Source organism: Homo sapiens, chromosome 11, assembly GCF_000001405.40.
Source record: "Homo sapiens chromosome 11, GRCh38.p14 Primary Assembly".
Classification (NCBI taxonomy): domain Eukaryota; kingdom Metazoa; phylum Chordata; class Mammalia; order Primates; family Hominidae; genus Homo; species Homo sapiens.
The window spans coordinates 57741486-57764536 of NC_000011.10; the positions used below are offsets into that span (position 1 = coordinate 57741486).

The following is a 23051-nucleotide window of genomic DNA, read 5'->3' on the forward strand; positions in this document are numbered from 1 at the left end:
GGAGCAGAGCTTCCGGGCTGCGCTCTTCGTTGCCCAGTTTCCGCTCAGTGGTCGCGTCTCCGCCCCCCACCCACCAGTCCCGCTGCATTCTCGGCCGGGCTCTAGGCGCCATGGCTCCCCGCGGGAGGAAGCGTAAGGCTGAGGCCGCGGTGGTCGCCGTAGCCGAGAAGCGAGAGAAGCTGGCGAACGGCGGGGAGGGAATGGAGGAGGCGACCGTTGTTATCGAGCATTGGTGAGGGGCCTGGAGAGTAACGGGAGAGAGGGAACAGTGGCGCCGGGGGGGGCCAGGGGCCCCGGTTTCTAACCTCTCCGTCTCTCCCTAGCACTAGCTGACGCGTCTATGGGCGCAACGCCGCGGCCCTGAGCCAGGCGCTGCGCCTGGAGGCCCCAGAGCTTCCAGTAAAGGTGAACCCGACGAAGCCCCGGAGGGGCAGCTTCGAGGTGACGCTGCTGCGCCCGGACGGCAGCAGTAAGTGGGGACCTGGATGTGGGGGAGAGGGACGTGGGTGAAAGGGACGTGGGTTCCGAAGACAGGAAGCGCTATTCTTAGAAACCACGGCAGTCTCATGACTTCAGAGACGTGCTCGTGGGTTCCGAAGTATTGTAACTTCGCTTCATTCTGGCCTTTCAGGTGCGGAGCTCTGGACTGGGATTAAGAAGGGGCCCCCACGCAAACTCAAATTCCCTGAGCCTCAAGAGGTGGTGGAAGAGTTGAAGAAGTACCTGTCGTAGGGAGATTTGGGTAGAAGCCCTCATGCTGAGGTTTGAAATGGGAAGTGGGGGGCGCGACCGCTGTTGAGGAAGAGAAGGCATTGATCTTGGTGTGGCTACAAGTACCCACCTGGCGTGGGTAGCTCACGCCTGCAATCCCAGCACTCTGGGAGGTCGAGGCAGGAGTGGATGGCCAACACAGGGAGACCCTATTTGAAAACAAAAAACAAAAAAAAGACACAATATTGTTTTCTGTCTAGTGTGCCCTAAGTGGAATTTATGTCCTTTGGGAGACTGTAGTTGACTTGCCCTGGGGGTATGGACAAGTTTTCCATTTGGAAGTTTATTTCATGTTACTTCATTTATGCTTATCCCTACCCTCTTCTGTTTGGTTCTTGGGTGTTCTGTTACTGTCCTGTGTTAACACTGCATTACAATACCATTAAATTTGGTTACAAGGATTTTGACCTTGTCTTTGTCCCTAGTGCTTCATACAGTGCTTTGGCATGTTGTTCTGCACTTATTATGTTGAGTGAGATTTGGAGGAAGGATGCAATCCTTGAGCTTCAGGGTTTGTGAGTTCAAGGGTTGGGGAACATGTCTTCCTCAGTCCTTAAGATTGCCCAGATCCTTTCTCTAACCTTATTTCCCTTCTCATTTTTGCAGCTTTGTGTCCCTGGTGATGTTGGAACATTAATGATGGAACATGGCCAAACTTCAGTCATGATCCTGAAGCCATGGTTTCTTCCCTGCCAGAAATGAAGGTTCAGTTATGAGGCAACCCTCTAGTAAGGCATTGTAAAAGTTACTGGATTTGGTTTAATAAAAGTTGAAATAAAGTATTTGAGTAATAGAGTAAAACTTAATCTTAAGGGATGGACAAAGCCAGCCTTGTGGAGTTGGTAGTCCTTGTGTTTTTCATAGCCCAAGATAGCCATGTGACCTGGAACTTTTAAAAAAAAATTTTTTTTTAAGAGCCAGAGTCTCACTTTGTCACCCATGCTGGAGTATAGTGGTGCTATCTCGGCTCACTGCAACCATTGTCTCCCAGGTTCAAGCGATACTCCTGCCTCAGTCTCCTGAGTAGCTGGGATCACAGGTGCACACCACCACGCCTGGCTAATTTTTTTATTTTTATTTTTAGTAAAGGCGGGGTTTCACCATGTTGGCCAGGCTGGTCTCAAACTCCTGACCTCAAGTGATATGCCTGCCTTGACCTCCCAAAGTGCTGGGGTTACAGGCATGATGAGCCACCGCACCTGGCCTGACCTGCAACTTTTATGATCTCTGGTAAAACATGAGAAATACTTGTAAAAATTATGGGAGCAAAGTAAATAATTTATTTTTTAAAAAAGCAACTGTATCTTTTTCAACTTACTTTTTGGAAGTAATGATGGAAGTACATCTTCTTGGCCCCTGCAGAGGTTTTAGCTAGACTTCCTAATACTGGCAGTGAATAAGCCCCACGTTGGGTGCTGGACAGCATCCATCACTCCCACCCACTTAGTATTCCACCCAACACTGCTTCACACCTTCCTCTGGAACATTTTCTTAAACAATACCCCACCACAGAGGAGGGTGTTCTTTCTCAGCTTTTCCTAAATTACCAGTGACTGGATGCCTTATGACCTGAGAGATCTGGCCTTGGCTGTTACCTATGACCCACCAGAATTGGGGAGCACACAGTTTGTTTCAGTTGTCACTAACCGGAAAATAGATTACAAATAAGATGGTACAAGTTCATAATTTTCTATCTATGGTACCCTTGGCTTCTGCCTGGCTTCTGAGGCTTAGGGAAGGGAGGAAGGGACCTACAAAGAGCCAGGGTACACCTGCCTCTTGTGCTGAGGGCACGTGCCAGCTTCTCTGCCAGTAAGCCTTTTGCTAGCTAACATTTCCCACCCTCCCAAGGCCCCTAACCTGCCCTCCCCTCTCCACTATGTTAGTATATCTACCTCTGTTTCTGACTCTGAGGAAGGGTCAGGCCACACGGAGGGAACAGTAGTGGGTACCAGCCTCCCCTCTGCTGTCCAGTCCACCACATCAATCTCTTCCTCTTCAGAGCTGGCAGGAAGTGAGCCTAGTAGTTCAGAGTGACCAGATACCTCCTTGCCTGCCTTGGGAGAAGGGTATAATAACTCATCTGTAGTCAAGGAGACTTCCAGCCCAGTCTCCACCCAGTTTGAGCAGGGAGGTGAGAGGTCCCCATAAGACCTCTGGGGAGTATCAAGGGAGCTGACATGGAGAAGTTTGTCTTCCTGACCATCCAGTGGCTGGGAGCTGGTAATTTCAAGGTCTGGTGTCCAACGGCCTCCTACTGAAAGCACTTCACTCACCTCAGAGGGCATGACAAGGGGGCTAAGGAGCTCAGTTGGCCCTCTGTTCTCACCAGCAGGTTCCTTTTCCAATTCTGTGAGCTCCCTGGGCCAGAGTTCCATGTCTGGTAGACACCATTCTTCCCCTTCAATCCAGTTCTTTCCTGTTTCTGTCAGATGGTAGGTAGGCGTTCTGCAGCCCTCAGCCCCTGGACTCTCCAGAGACCCTATAGGTGGTTCAATGTCTGAGCCACAGAGCATGAAGTCCAGGATCTCCTCCAGCTCACTGGTGGCAGCAGCACTTGTGATTCGGTACTCCTCAGCCTCACAGGGCTGCTCCAGCAGAGCTGTGTCAAATGCATAGGGTTCTCTGCAGTCAATAGCCAACATAGGTTCCTTCTCTACCAGTTCTGGACTGGACTCAAACTCTGACTTCACCACTGGGTGGTCTGGGGAGTGGCTAGCAGAGACCAGAATGTCTTGTAGCTTAGTGCACATGGGGGAGTCCTGACACAGTTCTGTTCTAGTAGGTGACATTTCCTGCTCATTACTGGAGAATGGCTGAGTTCCTGAAGGCTCTTGGAAGTCTCCTCCGGGATCTGGGATCTGGGGGCTATCTTGAGTGTTTTTGAGAGGAGTCTCTTGTACCACTTCCCAGCAAGTCCCATTGACAATCTTCCTAAGTTTAACTCTCCCAACCTGCCCCTCCTCTGCAGAGTCTGAGTTAGGTGCCCTGACTTCAGGGCTCCGCTTCCTGCTCCCACCTGTCTTTCCCAGACCAGATGGGTTTGGGGTGCTCTGCAGAGGACTAGCTCTGCCTGGTTTTGGCTTGTCCTCTGGTGTTTCTTTATTTACACTCCTCTGCCGCCAAAGACGCCGGCCAGGGGTTGCAGGCACTGAGCTAGATCCACTTAAAATGCTGGAAGGCTTTGATGTACAGATACCAGGAGATGGCTTTGAGCGACTGAGCCTGATCTTTCTGGGCAACAGGTGTTTGTCCACAGAGGGGTACAAGCTGGGTGGGGAGAGCACTGTAGGATCAAGGGCAGTGTCATTCTTGTTCTCTCTAGGCTCTTGACTATGGCTTGATGGTGAAGAGTTTTTTTCTTGTGGAGTTGGGCAGGCTCTGGCCTTCCTCTTGAGCAGAAGAGTGCCAGACAAATTGTCTGCATTCTGTCGGTTGTTTTCCTGGGGCCCCTCTTCCTTCCCCAAGGACTTCAATCTTATTGCCCCAAGAGGACAAGGAGTTTGATTAGTGGGCAGTGGGGTGTGAGGGTGGTGGCTGGGTGTCACCACTCTGGCAGAGATTGGTGCAGCACTTGTTGGTTGTAAGCACTCTCGGTTCAGCCTTCGGCCCTGTGGGGCCTTCACCAACTTTCCACCCTCAAGCTGAAGGGATTCCAGCTCAGACACACGGAGCTGACGGGCAGCAGATAGCACATCCTGGGCTTCTTCTTGAGATACTTCCATTTCTGAGGTATACAAGAAGTCCACCAGCTTCCTAAGTGTGCTGATCTTCAGGCCACCCAGCTCTAGCACCACCTTCCCACCCTGAGCTGGCCTCTCCCGCTCCAGGCGCTCTGTGAAGAAGGGGCTACAAGCTGACAGGATGCAGCAGTGAGCTGGAACTGCCTCACCTGAAGGGAAACCCAAATACTTTTGTTATCAGGTAGACTGGCATGTTCATGGGCTAAGCATAGACATTACTACCCAAATGTACTGCCCCTTCTTTTATTTTCCTTCCATGGGACTTCAAGTAAAAGAAAAAAATTATTCTTCTGCCTGCCTGGAACCTTCTGCCATTACCTTTTGCCTAGCTATTTTTTTTTTTTTTTTTTGAGACAGTCTCGCTTGGTTGCCCAGGCTGGAGTGCAGTGGTGCAATCTCAGCTCACTGCAACCTCTGCCTCCCGGGTTCAAGCAATTCTCCTGTCTTAGCCTCCCGAGTAGCTGGGATTACAGGCGCATGCTGCCACACCCGGCTAATTTTTGTATTTTTAGTAGAGACGGGGTTTCACCTTGTTGGTCAGGCCGGTCTCCTGACCTCAGGTGATCCACCCGCCTCGGCCTCCCAGAGTGCTGAGATTACAGGCGTGAGCCACCGTGTCCAGCCCGCTACCTTGTTTCTTTATTCTCAAAATCTACCTTTGTCATCACTTCCTTCAGAAAGCCTCCTGGGGCTGAGTGCAGTGCCACATGCTTGAAATCCCAACTGTTAGGTAGGCTGAAGCAGGAGAATTGCTTGAGTCCAGGGCTTTGAGGCTAGCCTGGGGAACACAGTTATACCTTGTCTCCAAAAAAAAAAAAAAAAAAAGCCTTCCTCCACCCCACCACAAGTCTGAGTTAGGTGTTCCTGGGCAGAGGTACTCTGTAGCTATCATGGCACTTAGCTATCTGTATTGTAATTATCCATCTCCTTCACTAGGCTGTAACTCTGTGAGGACAAGGACCACGTCTGTCTTTCTCACTGAGATATATTCAGTGCCTGACACAAAATAAAGGATCATCATTCTTGCTGAATTTAATTTTATTGACTCACACAAGAGTTCAAAAACTTTTATAGAAGCAACTTGTGGTCTAACAGAAAGAGCTATGGAGGTGGATGATCTGCTGTGCTCTACCCACTGCCTACCAGGCAGTGGTCTGTTCTGAGCCACCTCATTTAATGGGTACTTCCCAGGCAATCTCACTTTGTTTCTTCCATGGCTTTAATTACAAAAGGCTTGCTGATGATTCCCAGATCCATACCTCTGCCTAGATCTCTTTCCTGAGGGAGTAAACATACCACAGCTGGCATGTCTACATATATGCCTCACAAGCACCTTCAATGCAACTTTTCCAGAAAATGAACTTATTCCCCACCCCAAAAAACCTCTCTCATTTTCTACTTCAAAGTAAGGCATCATATTCACCCAGTTGCCTGAGCTTGAAAACCAGAAGTCATTTTTAATTTTCCCTCCTTTACCCATCACATCTAATTAAGTATCAGGGTTTTTTGTTTTTGTTTTTGTTTTTGTTTTTTGAGGCGGAGTCTCACTCTGTGGCCCAGGCTGGAGTGCAATGGTGCGATCTCAGGTTACTGCAACCTCCGCCTCCTGGGTTCAAGTGATTCTCCTGCCTCAGCCTCCCAGTTGCCTGCCACCGCGCCTGGCTAATTTTTGTATTTTTAGTAGAGACAGGGTTTCACCATGTTGGCCAGGCTGATCTTGAACTCCTGACCTCAGGTGATCCACCTGCCTCGGCCTCCAAAAGTGCTGGGATTACAGGCATGAGCCACCACGCCTGGCCAGGGTTGTTTTGTTTTTTTGAGACAGGGTCTTGCTCTGCCAACCAGGCTGGAGCACAGTGACACAATCATAGCTCACTGCAACCTCAACCTCCCGGGCTCTGGTGATTATCTTACCTCAGCCTCTTGAGTAGCTGGGACTACAAGCATATACCACCTCAGCCAGCTAATTGTTTGTATTTTTTAATAGAAACAGGGTTTTACCATATTGCCTAGGCTGGTCTCAAACTCCTGGGCTAAAACAATCTGTCTGCCTTGGCCTCCCAAAGTGCTGGGATTGCAACTGCACCCGGCTGTTTTTATTTTTTAGAGACAAGGTCTCAGTACATTGCCTAGGCTGGTCTTGAACTCCTTGCCTCAAGTGATCCTCCTTCCTTGGCCTCCCAAAGTGCTGAGATTATAGGCATGAGCAACTGTGCCCAGCCTCTAATTAAGTATCAGGTTTTTTTAAAGCTAATATTTGTTGAGTCATTATGTTCCATCAGGCATTGTTCTAAGTGTTTTACCAATATTAATTTATTTAATCTTCACTGTAACTCTGTAAAGTAGCTACTGTTATTATAAATGAGTAAACTGAGGCATAGTTAAGTAACATGCTTACAACTGCAAAGTAGCAGGGACAAGATTTGAATTCAAGGCCGGGCACAGTGGCTCAAACCTGTAATCCTAGCACTTTGGGAGACTGAGGCGGGAGGATCACTTGAGCACAAGAGTTTGAGACTAACCTGGGCAAAACAGTGAGACCTTGTCTCTAAAAAGAAAAAAAAGAAAAAAAAAAAAGAATTTGAGCCAGAAAGTCTGGCTACAGAGTCTATGCCCTTAACCACTTCAGCAACTTTTGTAAACTCTCTTTAATAGCTCATATTTTTATCTTCTCAATGCCTTAATTCAGGTCATCATCATCCCCTCTCTCCTGGATTATGAAACAGCTGCCTATCTAGGCTCAGTAACCAATAATGGCTGAATGTTGTTTCTAAACAACAAGCTGAATGTTGTTTCTAAAGCAGGTATTAGATTATAACCTCCTGCGTAAAACTGTTCAGTATGTCTCCCAGTGTCCTGAGATACCTACTTCCTTTGTATGACACTTCAGACCTCACATGTTTACTAATTTCTCTTTTCCTCTCTGGTCAATACATGTTTTATAGTCTGCTCTAATAATAACGAACAAACCCGTGGTCACATCTCTGAACCTGTATACGTGCTGCTGTCTGCCAGGAAAAATCCCTGCTTCCTCCCACTTGTTTGTCTTTCAGATCTCACCTAAGGGGTTATTCCAAGAAAAGTTCCCTAACCCTTGTCTCCCAGTCTCCTCAAGTCTGTGAAGGATGTTTCTTTTTTATCCTCCTAAGTCTGCCTATGACTTACCCAATTATATTTTTAATATATTGCACAGTTACTTGAATGCACTGGATTTTTGAATGTCTTCCCCTTATAAGATTTCCTTAAGAAGAGGAACTTTTGTATGACCACGGTAGCAGTGTTTAGCATACAACAGGCAACTGATACTTTTTTCTTTATTTGGAATTAAATAGTCAATCTCAACTCTGCACTTACTAAGAGAAGCAGCAGGCAAATCACTTAACTGTAGTCCTCAACTCATTCATATGTAGAATTGGAACCATATAGCTAAGGCTTCTCTTACAAGACTGTTAGAATCAGATGAGACATGGCCGGGTGTGTGGCTCACACCTGTAATCCCAGCACTTTGAGAGGCCAAGGCAGGTGGATCACCTGAGGTCAGGAGTTCAAGACCAGCCTGGCCAACATGGTGAAACCCGGTCTCTACTAAAAAATACAAAAATTAGCCAGGTGTGGTGGCATATCCCTGTAATCCCAGCTACTCAGGAGACTGAGGGAGGAGAATCGCTTGAACCCAGAAGGCGGAGACAGCAGTGAGCTGAGACCGCGCAATTGCACTTCAGCCTGGGCGACAGCGCAAGAATCTCAAAAAAAAAAAAAAAAAAAAAAAAAAAATCAAATGAGACACTATACTGTATGTAATCCACAAACTGTAGAGTGGTATACAATATTGGTTATCATAATTATTTTTTATAAATGAAGACATTGAGCCCCAGAGAGATGAAGTTACCTGCCCATTTCTTGGGCCTTTATATATCAGGATCTACTTAGTAACTCTGACTCCTAATCTTGGGCCTTGTACATTATATATCAGGGTCTACTTTATGCTGAATTAACATTTCCAGTGTGAAGTGAAGGGGTGGAAATAACCTATACATTTTTAGTTCTAGCAACAAACAACAAAAGTCATCAATTTGAAGATTAAATAAATTAAGCAGGCCGGGCAACGTGGCTCACGCCTGTAATCCCAGCACTTTGGGAGGCTGAGGCAGGTGAATCATGAGGTCAGGAGTTCGAGACCAGTCTGGCCAACATAGTGAAACCCCATCTCTACTAAAAATACAAAAAATTTTCCGGGTGTGGTGGCACGCACCTGTAGTCCCAGCTACTCGGGAGGCTGAGGCGGCAGAATCGCTTGAACGCGGGAGGTGGAGGTTGCAGTGAGCTGAGACCGTGCCATTGCACTCCAGCCTGGGAGACAGAGAGAGACTCTGTCTCAAAAACAAAACAACAACAAAAAAGAAAATGGGAAAAGGGTCGGACGTGGTGGCTCACGCCTATAATCCCAGCACTTTGGCAAGCCCAGGCGGGTGGATCACTTGAGGCCAGGAGTTTGAGACCAGCCTGGCCATCATGGCAAAACCTCATCTCTACTAAAAATACAAAAGTTAGCTGGGCGTAGTGGCGCATGCCTGTAATCTCAGCTACTTGAGAAAGCTAAGGCATGAGAATCACTTGAACCCAGGAGGTGGAGGTTGCAGGTAGCTGTGATTGTGCCACCACACTCCTGCCTGGGCAAGAGAGTGAGACTCTCAAAAAGAAAACATAATAGTATCATCTAACACATATTGTGGTTAGTATATTAAAAGCACTATTCTAAGTGCTTACCCACATTAACTCTTAATCTTCACAACCATCCCATTGGAATATTATCCATGTTATATAGAATGTATCTGCTTATAAAACTTTACAATTAGATTCATTATTTAAGAGAAAGAAGCAAAGTCACAATTTCACTCTTGAAAACAGTAGTAATTGTCCTAGAAACAAACAGCCCTTTACCAAATAGTTTACAGTGGTCATAGGCAGTAATATTTTGCTGATTTTGTCCTTTACCCTCTGGCTCTGAACTCATTTTATCTTATTCTATGGTGAGTTTTCAGTTGAATTCCGACCACTCTCTTACCTTCTGCCTGCAGAAGGACATCACAGAACACATCACTCTGCTGCTGGTGATGAAGCTGCAGAAAAGCTAACCTGAGGAACCGGGGGTTCCTGTATAGGATTTTGGGACTGGCAGGAGAGCACATGTTGGCAAGAGTCTTAACAAACCTTCTAGGTTTTCACAGATCAGACTCCTGTAGGTGAGATAATACATTTCAGAGGCATGGTTACATCTAATTTGTTTTTTGTCTTTGAAATGGCAGGGGAATTTTGAAAGTGAGAGATAATAGTATGAGTTGAGGAAACATCAGCCCAGAAATTGTGCCAAGGATATCTCAAGAAAGAAAATTATCATAGTGGTTACATGTGGGAGCTCAGAGATAAGCCTAGGTTTGGGTCTTGGCTCTATTTATTAGCCTGGCTGTATAATCTCACACAGGTGACCTAACTTCTCTGAGTCTCACTTTCCTATCCATGAAATAGAATAATAGTACTTACCTTGTAGGGTTGTTTTAAAGATTAAATGAGTCAGTGAAGGTAAAGTTGCTTAGCACAGTGAGTGCCTGGCACAAAATAACTACCAAGCCCCAAATGGTAACTATTATTATCCTTCAACCTTCCTCATTTCCATTACCACTGAGACTCAACTGCTACAATGCTGACTACTTATATTCTTCCTGAGCACCACATCCCAGCTCCACAGGTATAATCTTCAAGTTAACACTTTTAAGGAAACATTACTGGGTATAAAATTATCTCTAGTAAGTCGTATGCGCCTTTTCTCTGAGCTCACTGTATCACACTAACCAGCAGAGGGTGCACAATAAAGAAGAGAAGCCTCTGACTCTGCGGGAAGGTCTCTCACAGAACCAAGGACGTTGCCACCCTTGGCTGGGTGTACTTGACCAAAGCGAGCCTGACTGACCCTGGTAGTAGGCAAAGAATTTGGCCTTTACGTTTGTATAGTTAATTACCAGGCTAACAATGCAGCAAGGATAGTAAAGCATTTTACCCCTCCCAAAACAAACTGAGTATTCTGACTTCAGGCTTATGTCCAGCTTTTTAGCTCCGAAACCCCCCCACTCACTGCACAGCTGTGTTCCTTTCCTGGAATGCAGTTTTCTATCAGGTAGCACTGAGGGTCCGAACAGTTCACGTCAAAACTATCAGGAAAGAAGAATGAAAAGGTAAATTAAGAGAAGGCGGGCTTGGCTGGGCGGGGTGGCTCACGCCTGTAATCCCAGCACTTTGGGAGGCCGAGGCGGGTGGATCACCTGAGGTTAGGAGTTTGAGACCAGCCTGGCCAACATGGTGACTCCCCGTCTCTACAAAAATACGAAAATTAGCCGGGCATGGTGGCAGGCGCCTGTAATCTCAGCTACTCAGGAGGCTGAGGTGGGAGAATCGCTTGAACCTGGGAGGCAGAGGTTGTAGATAGAGCCACTGCACTCCAGCCTGGGCGACAGAGCGAGACTCCGTCTCAAAAAAAAAAAAAAAATTCCCATCCCAGTGAGAGAGATGTGGATGGAGGATGGCAGCTGTTGCAAGGGCCCTGGGGAAGCTTCTCAATCCACGATCGCCTGGCCTTGCCTCCAGACCCAACTTGAAATAGCTTTTCGGTAGACTTTGCTCCTGTTGCCTTCTCTGTGCTTGTCCTCTGTCCAGCCTGCCTTGCTTCCTCTCAATGTTCAGCGTTGAGTCAGGAGGCTGAGCAAAGATGCGCAGGTGGGCCAACGGCTGAGTGCTTCACCTCCCCATCCAGAAGCAAGGGAATCGGTGTTGGCGGAGAAAGCAGGGCTTCAGGGAGAGCCCTGCAAAGCGGGGTGGCCCGCACGCTTGGGCGCCCTGGCCCAACTCCTTTGAAGAAAGACTCCTAGGCGCGAGGGTTTCTGGGAATGGACCGTGGGGATCCGGGAGGCCCAAAGTCAGGACTTCCCGTCACGGCCACCTCCGCCAGCATAGACTTTGCAGGCAGCCCCTGGCGCCCTTGTATCCCTGCGGGCTTCAGCACCCACATGCACTGGGTGGTAGTGATAGCGAGGGTTGTAAGGCCACGCGGCCAGCGCCACACACCTCGTGCCACCGTCCTAGCGCGCTGCGCGTCGCAGAGCCCTACGCCCCTCCTCCTCCCGAGTCCTCGGGCCTACGTCGTCCGGCATACGTCATCCCCATTGGCCGAAGGCTCCCGGGAGAACCAATCAGAACAGGAGGAGCGCTTTGGGCGGGAGGCTAAGTCTCGAGGGACTTGAGGGCTGAGGGAAGATGGCTGGGCTGCAAGAGGCAGGGGGATGGGCCCGTCAGGGAGGAATTCTTGTGAAAGCCGTCGTCTGCCTCAGCACTTGATGAAAACACACCGAAAAAGAGGGTAGGGATGCTGTAGTAGAGCAGGCGCCAAGGCGGTTAAGGGTCATGTCCGTCTTCCCTTTGAAGAGGCAGTAGATGCCCTTGGCTCTGCCTGGAGCGCTCCATGTTTCGTGATGGAAGTCTCTGGATGGCTCTGGTAACACCGGGTCCCCCATATGGCTAATTTAGAAATCTCCTAAGACCAGAGATGTTATGGAATAAGGTCCTTGGGCAGTTTCTGAATTCAGTTTCTTCACTGATTCCACTCCAACCCCAAATCTTGGAGAACTAATGACCCAGGGGTTTTGCAGAAAATCCCCCCCCCCGCCCCCGCGAACGGTCTCCATTATCGTTACAGAGATGATTTTTTAAAAAAATGTTAATTAGGCCTGGCGCGGTGGTTCACGCTTGTAATCCCAGGACTTTGGGAGGCTGAGGGGGGCGGATCACGAGGTCAGGAGTTAGAGACCAGCCTGGCCAACATGGTGAAACCCCGTCTCTACAAAAATACAAAAAATTAGCCGGGCCTGGTGGCGCGTGCTGTAATCCCAGCAACTCGGGAGGCTGAGGCAGGAGAATCGTTTGAACCCGGGAGGCAGAGGTTTCACTGAGCCGAGATGACGCCACTGCACTCCAGCCTGGGTGACAGAGCAAGACTCAGTCTCAGAAAAAAAAAAAAAAGGTAATTAATGTTGCCCAGGATGTGACGCGATCCCGGCTCACTGCAGCCTCGACCTCTGGAGCTCCAGCAATCCTTCCACCTCAGCCTCCCGAGTAGCTGGGGCTATAGGCAAGTGCCACCATGCCTGGCTGATTTAATTGTTTTTCTTTTATTTATTTATTTATTTATTTTTTGGAAACAGAGTTCCGCTCTTCTTGTCCACGCTGGAGTGCAAGGCGTGATCTTGGCTCACTGCAACCTCCACCTCAGGGTTCAAGCAATTCTCCTGCCTCAGCCTCCTGAGTAGCTGGGATTACAGGCATATGCCACCATGCCCAGCTAAGTTTTGTATTTTTAGTAGAGCCAGGGTTACACCATGTTGGCCAGGCTGGTCTCGAACTCCTGACCTCAGGTGATCCACCCACCCTGGCCTCCCAAAGTGCTGGCATTACAGGCGTGAGCTACCGCACTTGGACTGATTTTCTTTTTCTTCTTCTCTTTCTTTTTCCCCTTCCCTCCCTCCCTCCCTTGTTTCCTTCCTCCTTTCTTTCTCTTGTTCTCTTCTCTTTCTTTTCTTTTCCCTTCCCTCCTTCCCTCCCTCCCTTCCTCCCTTCCTTCTTTCTGTCTTTCTTTTGTTTGCTTTGTTTCCTTTCTTTTTCCTCCCTCCCTTCCCCTCCCCTCCCCCTCCCTCCCTCCCTCGCTCCCTTCCTTCCTTCTGTCTTTCTCTTGTTCGCTTTCTTTCCTTTTTTTTTCTTTTCCCTCTCTCCCTTCCCCTCCCCTCCTCCTCCCTCCCTCCCTCCCTTCCTTCTGTCTTTCTCTTGTTCGCTTTCTTTCCTTTCTTTTTCTTTTCCCTCCCTCCCCTCCCCTCCTCTGCCCCCTCCCTCCCTTCCTTCTTTTTTTTCTTCTTTCTTCTGTGTGTTCTTTCTTTCGTTCATTCTTTCTTTCATTCTTTAGCTGTTTTTGTTCTTTTTTTTCTTTTTTAAAAGAGAGACAGGGTCGGCCAGGCGCGGTGGCTCACGCCTGTAATCCCAGCACTTTGGGAGGCCGAGGCAGGTGGATCACGAGGTCAGGGGTTTGAGACTAGCCTGGCCAACATGATGAAACCCTGTCTCTACTAAAAATAAAAAAATTAGCTGAGCATGGTGGCACACATTGGGGTGGCTACTGGGGCGGCTGAGCCAGGAGAATGGCTTGAACCCAGGAGGCAGAGGTTGGAATGAGCTGAGATCATGCCACTGCACTCCAGCCTGGGTGACAGAGCAAGACTCCGTCTCAAAAAAAAAAAAAAAAAAAAATAGAGACAGCGTCTCCCTATGTTGCCCGGGCTGGTCTCAAACTCCTGGGCTCACTCGATCCTCCCACCTTGGCCTCCCAAACTGCTGTCATTACAGGCATAAGCCACCGAGCCCAGACCAGAGACAATTTATTTAGCCTAGTTCCTGACTGGAATCAGCTGTTTTCAGGGATGATACTAAAAATTAAATTATCTCAAGATTTTTTTTTTTTTTTTTTTTTGAGACAGAGACTCCCTCTGTTGCCCAGGCTGGAGTGCAGTGGCACCATCTTGGCTCACTGCAACTTCCGCCTCCTGGGTTCAAGCAATTCTCCAGCCTCCAAGTAGCTGGGATTACAGGCATTCACCACCATGCCCAGCTAATTTTTGTATTTTTAGTAGAGATAGGGTTTCACCATGTTGGCCAGGCTGGTCTCAAACTCCTGACATCAGGTGATCCGTCCGCCTTGGCTTCCCAAAGTGCTAGGATTACAGGCATGAGCTACTGTGCCTGGCCTAATTATCTCAAGATTAAATATTTACAGAGAATGCCAACCCATGGTATAATTCTGGACAGCAGTTCTTTCCCCTGTGTATGTTAGGACCTGGGCCGTGGCTTCAGTTATTGCCCCTCAGTAGATGCTCTGTGATGTCTAGCTCTGGGTGAGAATGGCTGAATCCAAAGCCGCTGGTGACAAAGTGGGGTGAATTGAAATGAACCAGCTCCCACTGAGGCCAACTGGAGGTAGAAAGGAAGAAAAATGCCTAAGACAAGGGGAACGTGCAAAGGGACAAAACATAGAGGGGTGAGGGTACAGTGTGCCCAAATGTCTTTATTGATATCTAACACCTTTTCAAAAAGGATTTGAGGTTGTTGGTGGAAATGGTGGTGTGGGGAGTGCATTTCCAAGTCAAGTACTATTTCCCCTATGCTGAGGCCTGTGATGTTGAGATGGAGAAAGAAACAAAGAACAGAAAACATTTTTGGTTGCCGTTGTCTTACTTTGAAGAAGAAGCAATTAGTGAAAGACATAAAACTTAGCAGAAGGAGAACAGATTTTAGATGTTGTCAGTAGCAGCAACAACAGCACCACACACACACACACACACACACGTAAACAAGCAAGGAAAACAAAAGAGAAGGCAGAACAACCCTTGTTTATGGCATCTGTTACTATAGAATCAGGACTTGATTGGGCAGGTAGAGTACCAGTATAGATGATTCTGTGGAGGTGTAAGGAAATTATAAATGTATGTCTTCTCATTAATATATTGCCATGATGATTAAATTAATTTTCAAGAAGTGGAGAGGACTTCTTATTTTTTTAATCTAACATCATTTTAGTTAAATCTTGTGTTGGTAGAATTTCTTAATGCAGTCAAGGTGGCTCAGGCTGGTAATCCCAGCACTTTGGGAGGCTGAGGCAGGCAGATCACTTGAGGTCAGGAGTTTGGGACCAGCCTGGCCAACATGGCAAAACCCTGTCTTTACTAAAAATACAAAAATTAGCCAGACATGGTGGTGGGCACCTATAATCCCAGCTACTCGGGAGGCTGAGGCAGGAGAATTGGCATGAGCCCAGTAGGCGGAGGTTGCAGTGAGCTGACATCACACCACTGCACTCCAGCCTAGGCAACAGAGCAAAAAAAAAAAAAAGATAAAAAGAACTTCTAAAGGGATTGATAAATGGCCATCCTATCCAGGGCTTCAAAAATGACAAACTTTGATTGTAATGTGTAACCACCAGAGGGTGGAAAGGAGTAAAAATATTTTGTTTTTCTTTGTATGGATAACCAGTGGGGTTTTTGGAGTTGAATTTTTAAAATTTCTTCTTGGCATTTATAGTTTTAGCCTATTTTATTTTATTATTTATTATTTTATTTATTTTTGAGACAGCGTCTCACTCTGTCGCCCAGGCTGGAGTGCAGGCGCAATCTTGGCTCACTGCAACCTCCACCTCCTGGGTTCAAGCAATTCTCCTGTCTCAGCCTCCCGAGTAGCTGGGACTACAGGTGCAACACCACACCTGGCTAATTTTTGTTTTTTTAGTAGAGATGAAGTTTCAGCACATTGGTCAGGCTGGTTGGGAACTCCTGATCTCTGGTGATCCACCTGCCTTGACCTCCCAAAGTGCTGGGATTAGAGGTGTGAGCTACTGCACCCAGCCTTATTTTATTTTTGAGACAGGGTCTCACTTTGTGGTCACCTAGGCTGGAGTGCAGTGGCACAAACACAGCTCACTGCAGCCTTGAACTCCTGGGCTTAAGCAATCCTCCTACCTCAGCCTCCCAAATTAGCTGGGACCACAGGTATGCACCACTATGCCCCGCGTGTATTTTTAGTAGAGAAGGGGTTTCACCATGTTGGCCATGTTGGTCTCGAACTCCTGACCTGAAGTGATCCACCTGCCTTGGCCTCCCAAAGTGCTGGGATTACAAGCATGAGCCATCACACCCGGCCTATTTTAAATGTTCATTAATTTTAAATACCTTGACCAGGCATATATAACTAGCAAGCTAAGAGACTTTATTCACTCATTTAGTTGTTGCTAAATATGAGTTACAAGGTTGAGCTCTGGGGATAGACCATGAGCAAAAAAGACACTATTCATGGAACTTTTTTTTTTTTTGAGACAGAGTCTCACCCTGTCACCCAGGCTGGAGTGCAATGGCACAATCTCAGCCCACTGCAACCTCTGCCTCCTGGGTTCAAGCGATTCTCCTGCCTCAGGCTCCCGAGTAGCTGGGATTACAGGTGGTGTGCCACCAAGCCCGGCTAATTTTTTGTATCTTTAGTAGAGACGGGGTTTCACCATGTTGACCAGGCTGGTCTTGAACTTCTGAACTCGTGATCTGCCTGCCTTGGCCTCCCAAAGTGCTGGGATTACAGGCGTTGAGCCACTGCGCCCAGCCCATGGAGCTTATCTTCTGATGGGGGAGACAGAAGTATACATACACACAAATGAAAACAAAAGAAAAAGGAAGACAAAATACTTGCAAGTTGTGAGTAGTGATGTCTTCAACAAACAAGACCAATCTGTCTGTAGAAAATCATGTAACATTCTAGTATGTGGCTTTGATCTCGGAATCAATGAATCAACAAACATTTTTGGGCTGGTTGTTTTCCTTTGGTGATTATCTTTGGCTTTTGAACTTGCTATGGAGGACTAGGAATTGATGGGGAATAGAGGTAGAAAATGTGATAAAAGGAGAAGATTTTTAGGTAATGAGGCTTAAAGGCTGTTCATATCTTTGTTATAATGTATTCATTTTCAGCTGTAGTTTATTTAAAGCCCATCAAACAAGTGCTGTAATGCATGTTTGGTTTTTCAACACTTCTGAGGAAAGTCCTTTTTGGCCACTATAGACCAAATATAGGTCTATGAGACTATAGACCATATATATAAGGGAGTGGATAATGACTACATCAGCATGATTAAAAGCACATTCATGCTGAGTTGTTGAATTCTAGTTTATCTAGGTAAAGAAAGGTCAGATTATGGTTGATAATGTGTTACTTTAATGTACTGAATGAATAAATGTGGTGCCTTCAAAGCAGATGATAGTCCCCTACCATCCCAGTCAACATACAGTAGTCCTGTTTCTAGGATTTCTCTTGACCTTTATCTTGACCATAGTGTAACGTAATAGAAAGAGCATGGGCTGTGGAGTGAGACTGGTGAGGGTTCACTTAGCCAGATGAGATCAGGCAAATTTCTTCACCTTATTGGACCTTGATTTCCTCATCTGTAGAATGGTTGTAGTACTATTTCTGTGGTCATGTTTTAGAAGTTTGAAGTACTGAGCTCAAAATACCTCTTACATGGTAGACACTTCATCATTGGTTGCTATTATTGGGCAGTGGCTCACCACTGCAAGTTTTTGGGCAGGGTAGTTACTGAATAATAAAAATAATGATAATGCATTCTTAGTGAGTTTATACTACATGCCATACATTAAGAACTTTTGTTTTGAACCGGAGTCTCGCTCTGTTGCCCAGGCTGTAGTGCAGTGACACGAGCTCAGCTCACTGCCTCCCGGGTTCAAGCGATTTTCCCACCTCAGCATCCTGGGTAGCTGGGACTACAGGTGTGCGCCACCACGCTTGGCTAATTTTTGTATTTTTAGTAGAGACGGGATTTTGCCCTGTTGGCTAGGCTGGTCTGGAACTCCGGAGCTCAGGTGATCCGCCTGCCTCGGCCTCCTAAAGTGCCAGGATTACAGGCTTAAACTACGGTGCCTGGCCCAAAGAACTTTTTGTGTATTTTAATTCCCACAACAGTCTTGTGAGAGAGATATAGTTATCTCCATTTTATAGTTAAGGAAACTGAGGTTCAGATTATTTAATTTGGGTCAAGGTCACATAATAGTACATATATTTGAGTAAGTGTACTTACTTACAGAGGTGGAGTTTGAAGCTAGGCAGTTTGTGAAAACCTATACTCTTAAAGTTTCATATTTCTTTCTTTTTTTTTTTTGAGACGGAGTTTTGCTTTGTCACCTACACTAGAGTGCAATGGCATGATCTCGGCTCACTGCAACCTCCACTTCCTGGGTTCAAGCGATTCTCCTGCCTCAGCCTCCCGAGTAGTTGGGATTACAGGCACCCACCACCATACTCGGCTAATTTTTGTATTTTTCGTAGAGACGGGGTTTCGCCATGTTGGGTCAGGCTGGTCTCGAACTTTTGACCTCAGGTGATCCACCCACCTCGGCCTCCCAAAGCTCTGGGATTACAGGTGTGAGCCACTGTGCCCAGCCAAGGTTTCGTATTTCTATTCTAGATTTTGATAACTTGATGAAGACTCATTTGGCAGCAGTCTATAGGGTAAGTTTTAGATTAGTAAGAAAGAAGAAGGAAATCTTTGATTCATCATTGTCTTTGTTTTAGTAATCAGGGAATAACCATAAAATGCTAATCTTTGTCAAGCATGTTAAAAAAAAAATCCAGCCTCTGTCCATCATGGTCTAACAGTTTAAAAATATGTCCTAACTCAGAAAAATAATACCCCAATAATCCTTTATTTAGGTCAAATGTAAAAAGAGAATGTATAAGCTAGATCATCTTAAGCTTGAAGTTCACAAAGAAATAAAATGTTCTTTTTTTTTTTTTTGAGACAGGAGTTTCGCTCTTGTTGCCCAGGCTGTAGTGCAATGGCACAATCTCAGCTCACCGCAACCTCTGCCTCCCCGGTTCAAGCAATTCTCCTGCCTCAGCTTTCCGAGTAGCTGGGATTACAGGCATGCACCACCACGCCCAGCTAATTTTGTATTTTTAGTAGAGACAGGGTTTCTCCATGTTGATCAGGCTGGTCTCGAACTCCTGACCTCAGGTGATCCGCCCACCTTGGCCTCCCAAAGTGCTGGGATTACAGGCGTGAGCCACCGCGCCCGGCATAAAATGTTCTTGACATGAGATTTACTTTCTTTACCTATGCTGTTATTCCCTCTAAATATATTGCTTGTTTATTGGATTTCATTTCCTCTTTCCAACAAACCCACATTATTTTGATTTGGGGACAAATTGGGAAGACAGTGATTTTCTTTAACAGCCCAGTGGATTCTGCTTCCTTCTAATTCAAAGTATGGAGATTAAAACTGTTAACAAGTCTAGGCATTAAAAAAAAAAATAGCTCTAGATGGGGCGTGGTGGCTCACGCCTGTAATCCCAGCACTTTGGGAGGCCGAGGCGGGTGGATCACCTGAGGTCAGGAGTTCGAGACCAGCCTGACCAACATAGAGAAACCCCGTCTCTACTAAAAATACAAAATTAGCTGGGCATGGTGGCACATGCCTGTAATCCCAGCTACTCGGGAGGCTGAGGCAGGAGAATCGCTTGAACCTGGGAGGCGGATGTTGCGGTGAGCTGAGATCGCACCATTGTACTCCAGCCTGGGCTCGAAACTCCATCTCAAAAAAAAAAAAAAAAAATAGCTCTAATGCAATTAATCCAAAACAGTGAAACTGAGTTTACCTCAGATATCCCCTACCATCCCAGTCAACATATAGTAGTCCTGTTTTTAGGATTTCTCTCTCCTTTCTTTCCCGTCTTCCTTTAGGGAAATGCTTTGGGGTAGGAAGCAACAAACCAAACAGCAGCAGGCAAGTAAAATCAGCTCTTTTCTATTTCCCCACTGGGATAGTACAGAAGAGGGAGCAAGAACTCATCATCAAAGAGAACTGAGACTTAGGCGTACCATTCTAAAAAGCCCTTGTTCCTTGTCTCCCTTGCCTCTTCCGCCCCCCTCAGCTCTGCAGTAATTCCTCAGAGATTGTACAGTCTCTCCACTTTAAATATAAATATATAAATATAAATATATATATGTATAAACTTCCCCCTGTCTTTCTCTCCTCTCTTTTTTTTAATTTTCTATAATAAAGTTTCCTATTGGATAAGGTCAGCTCCCTGATTTATGCCTGGTTCCTATTGGAAGCTCACAGGGGCTGACATCACTTAGGAAAGCGAAGGGGGTAGGGCTGCCAGATCAGTTTGTCACCACCCAGGCTCCCTTGCCTTTGGCTGGGTGCAACTTCCATTTTAGGTGTTGGATCTGAGGGGGAAAAAAAAGAGAGAGGGAGAGAGAGAGAAAGAAGAGCAGGAAAGATCCCGAAAGGAGGAAGAGGTGGCGAAAAATCAACTGCCCTGCTGGATTTGTCTTTCTCAGCACCTTGGCGAAGCCTTGGGTTTCTTTCTTAAAGGACTGATTTTTAGAACTCCACATTTGAGGTGTGTGGCTTTTGAAGAAAATGTATGTACTGACGGGAAAAGGAGGATAAGCAAGTCGAATTTTTGTCTTACGGTAACCGGAGGGAATTAAAAAACGGGAGAGTCTGTTATGCTGATGAGTAACTTTTAAGCAATTATTTTTCTTTTCTACTTTCAGTACTTTGGCGGGGGAGATTTTGGTATTTTATTATATTTAAAAAGGTAAAATATACAAGACCTAGAAACAAACTTCTAGGTCTCTTTAATACAGGAAGCTGAATAGATCCAGAGGGGTAAGAGCAGGTTTGAAAATTTACATTTTGGTGTGTTCTTTGATTTTATTTATTTATTTTTCTGGATTAAGCTAACATATTTCTGTTTTCAGAGCCCAAATCAAAAGTTGGTTTTTTGGCATGTTGCATGTGGGTTGGGAAAGAAATTTGTCCGTGTCGGAACCCAGTTATACCGATGGTTCTTCATATGTTTAAAACTTTTTTTTTCTTTTATCATTGGATTTGTGGAAGTGGAAAGTTGCAGGGAGCTTTGCAGTGTAAATGGTATTGTTTTTCCCCCAGAGAGTTTGAACGGCCCGTATCGGTTTCAGCCCTGCTGTTCCTGGGTGGATCCCTCTTACTTTTCCAGGTGCGGTGGGTGGGAGCCTCATTCTCCTGCTAGATGTAGTCTCCCTTCTTTGGCTTATAAAAGAAAACAAATGGAACCATGTTAACTGAATTGCCATCTCCTTCTTCCTTCTAAACTACCTTTGATAGCAAAGATTTGTGGAGGTGTTTGTTAAATCTGCAAATACGATAACGTTTGGTTTATGTGTTTAAAGGGATAAGGAAATTCTAATCATGCTTTTTATTTCACCTGAGTAAAGTGGCAACATACCTGAAAATATTTTCAGCTTTTTGCACTCTGAAAGGGCCAAGGGTGGAATAAAATTAGGTTTAGAAAAACCATTTATACAAAGTTTAGTGTTTAAAATACATTTCAGAAAACAAGGGAGATTTTTATTTTTAAACCAACCTGAAAGTTGTTTTTTGGAGTTGAATTTATTGTTTAGTTAATTTACCATGAAATCTGAAATCTCTTAGAGCTGAAGGCCCATGACTGTGCTTTCATATCTTATATTTAATCTTAAGATTTGTTTTGTTTTTGCAAATACATTCTTGCAAAAGTACGGATTCTAGATAATTATATAGCCAACTCATCAGTAGCTGAAAAACTAGGGTATTCTCTTCTCTTTTTGAAAATGTGAATCCGCCTGAAAATTATAGATGCTGTCCTAATTGTAACAAGATGGGCTTTAGTGTGTAAGCTGCTCATTAGCTTTAAACTGGTATGGATCTTTAATAATCTGATTTCGTTCTCCCCTCACCCCCCTGCCACAAATTTTTTTAAGACTAGACTTCCTTGAATTTCTTTTCTAGAATGAGGGTATTTCTTGAAAGACGATTTCATCCTTGTGAAGTTGTGGCTTCAGGAGGAAACAGAACTTTGTTCCTCCTTCAAATACAACCTAGGCAAAGGCTGCAGGAAATTTTTGATGTCTGAATCTCATAATTATAACAAGTACAGTTAAAAAGAAAGAAAAAATACAATGTGTATAGGCTGTTGAACTGTAGTTCTTGTTTAATATTTTCCAAATTTTCTTTCAAATGTTCTCTCTGCCTTGACTCCAGCCTGGGGAGGTTTCTTGGATCTTTAGAGTGTTGGTCATGTTGCTTCCAGAGTGTCTGTTTCCCACTCAACCTTTAGGGGGAGGGATGAGGGAATCTGAAGGAGGAGTACAAAGGCAGTTTGAAAATAGGTTCTGGATGACTGAGTGGTGGTGATTTGGGTCTAGCTTTAAATAGTGGGCTTTGTGTAGCTGAAGTGAGCATCCTAGTTAACCTAGTGTCCAGGACTATTTCCACGAACTAAGGGTTGTTTTGACTGGTGTGTAGTACAGAGCCTTTGGGGTGATAAGATGGAAGATTTGTCTTTTACCTCACCTCCACTGGTTCTTTCAGGAATTATAAGGGATGCAGATAAGTAAATCTTTTATTTTTTAAATTTTTTGTTTTGCTCATTGTCTTGGTTTTGGGGTAAAAAATGATGATAGGTAAGTATGAGCTGTTCAGATATTTCTTTCCTTGTTTGCCTCCTATGTACGGTTGGTTTCTTTGTTATGTGAGTAAGGTAGTGGTCTGTGTTCCAGATTGCGGGGCGGGGGGGCGGTTCTCTTTTAGGTGGTTGGAGTTCTAGTACCTTTCTCAGGGTTCCAGCATGGACAGTCAGAGAAGCTCCAACATGTTCTCTGAGCTAGGGTAAAATTGAGACTATTGGTGATATTAACAAAAAGAAAAGCACTAAGTAATTACAATCCAGCCTTAGGTTTATGAAGTAGCTGCTCTCCAGGGATGAATGAGATAGGATGGATGCAAATAAATTAAGCATAGATCACTATCAATTGGAATAACAAAATGATTAGCTTTGTATAATTTATCTCCTTCTATTTTGGTACCC

The 23051-nt window shown here is 45.7% G+C and overlaps 3 protein-coding genes and 1 long non-coding RNA gene across 28 annotated transcripts in view, besides 2 other annotated features; 3 read left to right on the forward strand and 1 right to left on the reverse strand.

Moving 5' to 3' along the window:
- TMX2-CTNND1 (TMX2-CTNND1 readthrough (NMD candidate)) overlaps positions 1-23051 on the forward strand; it is a 106658-nt gene that overhangs the window by 28963 nt on the left and 54644 nt on the right.
- SELENOH (selenoprotein H) lies at positions 6-2065 on the forward strand. Of its 2 annotated transcripts, none has more exons than NM_170746.4 (4): positions 6-232; positions 324-469; positions 632-762; positions 1378-2065. In NM_170746.4, exons 1-3 carry the CDS (start codon positions 111-113, stop codon positions 730-732), a joined length of 369 nt encoding a protein of 122 aa, NP_734467.1. In that variant the 5' UTR covers positions 6-110; the 3' UTR covers positions 733-762; positions 1378-2065. The 2 variants fall into 2 exon arrangements, with proteins under 2 accessions (NP_734467.1, NP_001308264.1); NM_001321335.2 differs by having other exon boundaries at positions 632-742.
- Positions 148-197: an enhancer, noted in NCBI's record as "active region_4730". NCBI's record gives its function as "activates an Ori minimal core promoter by ATAC-STARR-seq in GM12878 lymphoblastoid cells {active_cell/tissue: GM12878}" and the evidence as "EXISTENCE:reporter gene assay evidence [ECO:0000049][PMID:35858748]".
- Positions 348-517: an enhancer, noted in NCBI's record as "active region_4731". NCBI's record gives its function as "activates an Ori minimal core promoter by ATAC-STARR-seq in GM12878 lymphoblastoid cells {active_cell/tissue: GM12878}" and the evidence as "EXISTENCE:reporter gene assay evidence [ECO:0000049][PMID:35858748]".
- On the reverse strand, positions 2029-11681 carry BTBD18 (BTB domain containing 18). 3 transcript variants are annotated; one of them, XM_047427405.1, is made up of 4 exons: positions 11161-11239; positions 10645-10720; positions 9580-9751; positions 2029-4663 (listed from the first exon to the last, which is right to left on the reverse strand). In XM_047427405.1, exons 3-4 carry the CDS (start codon positions 9701-9703, stop codon positions 2649-2651), a joined length of 2139 nt encoding a protein of 712 aa, XP_047283361.1. In that variant the 5' UTR covers positions 9704-9751; positions 10645-10720; positions 11161-11239; the 3' UTR covers positions 2029-2648. The 3 variants fall into 3 exon arrangements, with proteins under 3 accessions (XP_047283361.1, XP_016873617.1, NP_001138573.1); XM_017018128.2 differs by having other exon boundaries at positions 10645-11681; NM_001145101.3 differs by lacking the exons at positions 10645-10720; positions 11161-11239 and adding an exon at positions 10056-10334.
- CTNND1 (catenin delta 1) overlaps positions 20317-23051 on the forward strand; it is a 57739-nt gene continuing 55004 nt past the window's right edge. For 14 of the 22 annotated variants that reach the window (NM_001085460.2, NM_001206889.2, NM_001085462.2 and 11 more), the window contains exon 1: positions 20317-20561. The gene's annotated coding sequence lies outside the window, so the exon portion shown is untranslated. Of the gene's footprint in view, positions 20635-23051 lie in introns of all 22 variants that reach the window. The other 8 variants (NM_001085458.2, NM_001206885.2, NM_001085459.2 and 5 more) reach the window with 2 other exon arrangements.

Coding starts and splice junctions, on each gene's coding strand:
- BTBD18 (XM_017018128.2), bottom strand. CDS start 9,703: ATGTGCTCTCCTGCCAGTCCCAAAATCCTATACAGGAACCCCCGGTTC. Junction 4,664..9,579: donor TGTCCTTCTGCAGGCAGAAG/GTAAGAGAGTGG, acceptor GTTTCCCTTCAG/GTGAGGCAGTTCCAGCTCAC.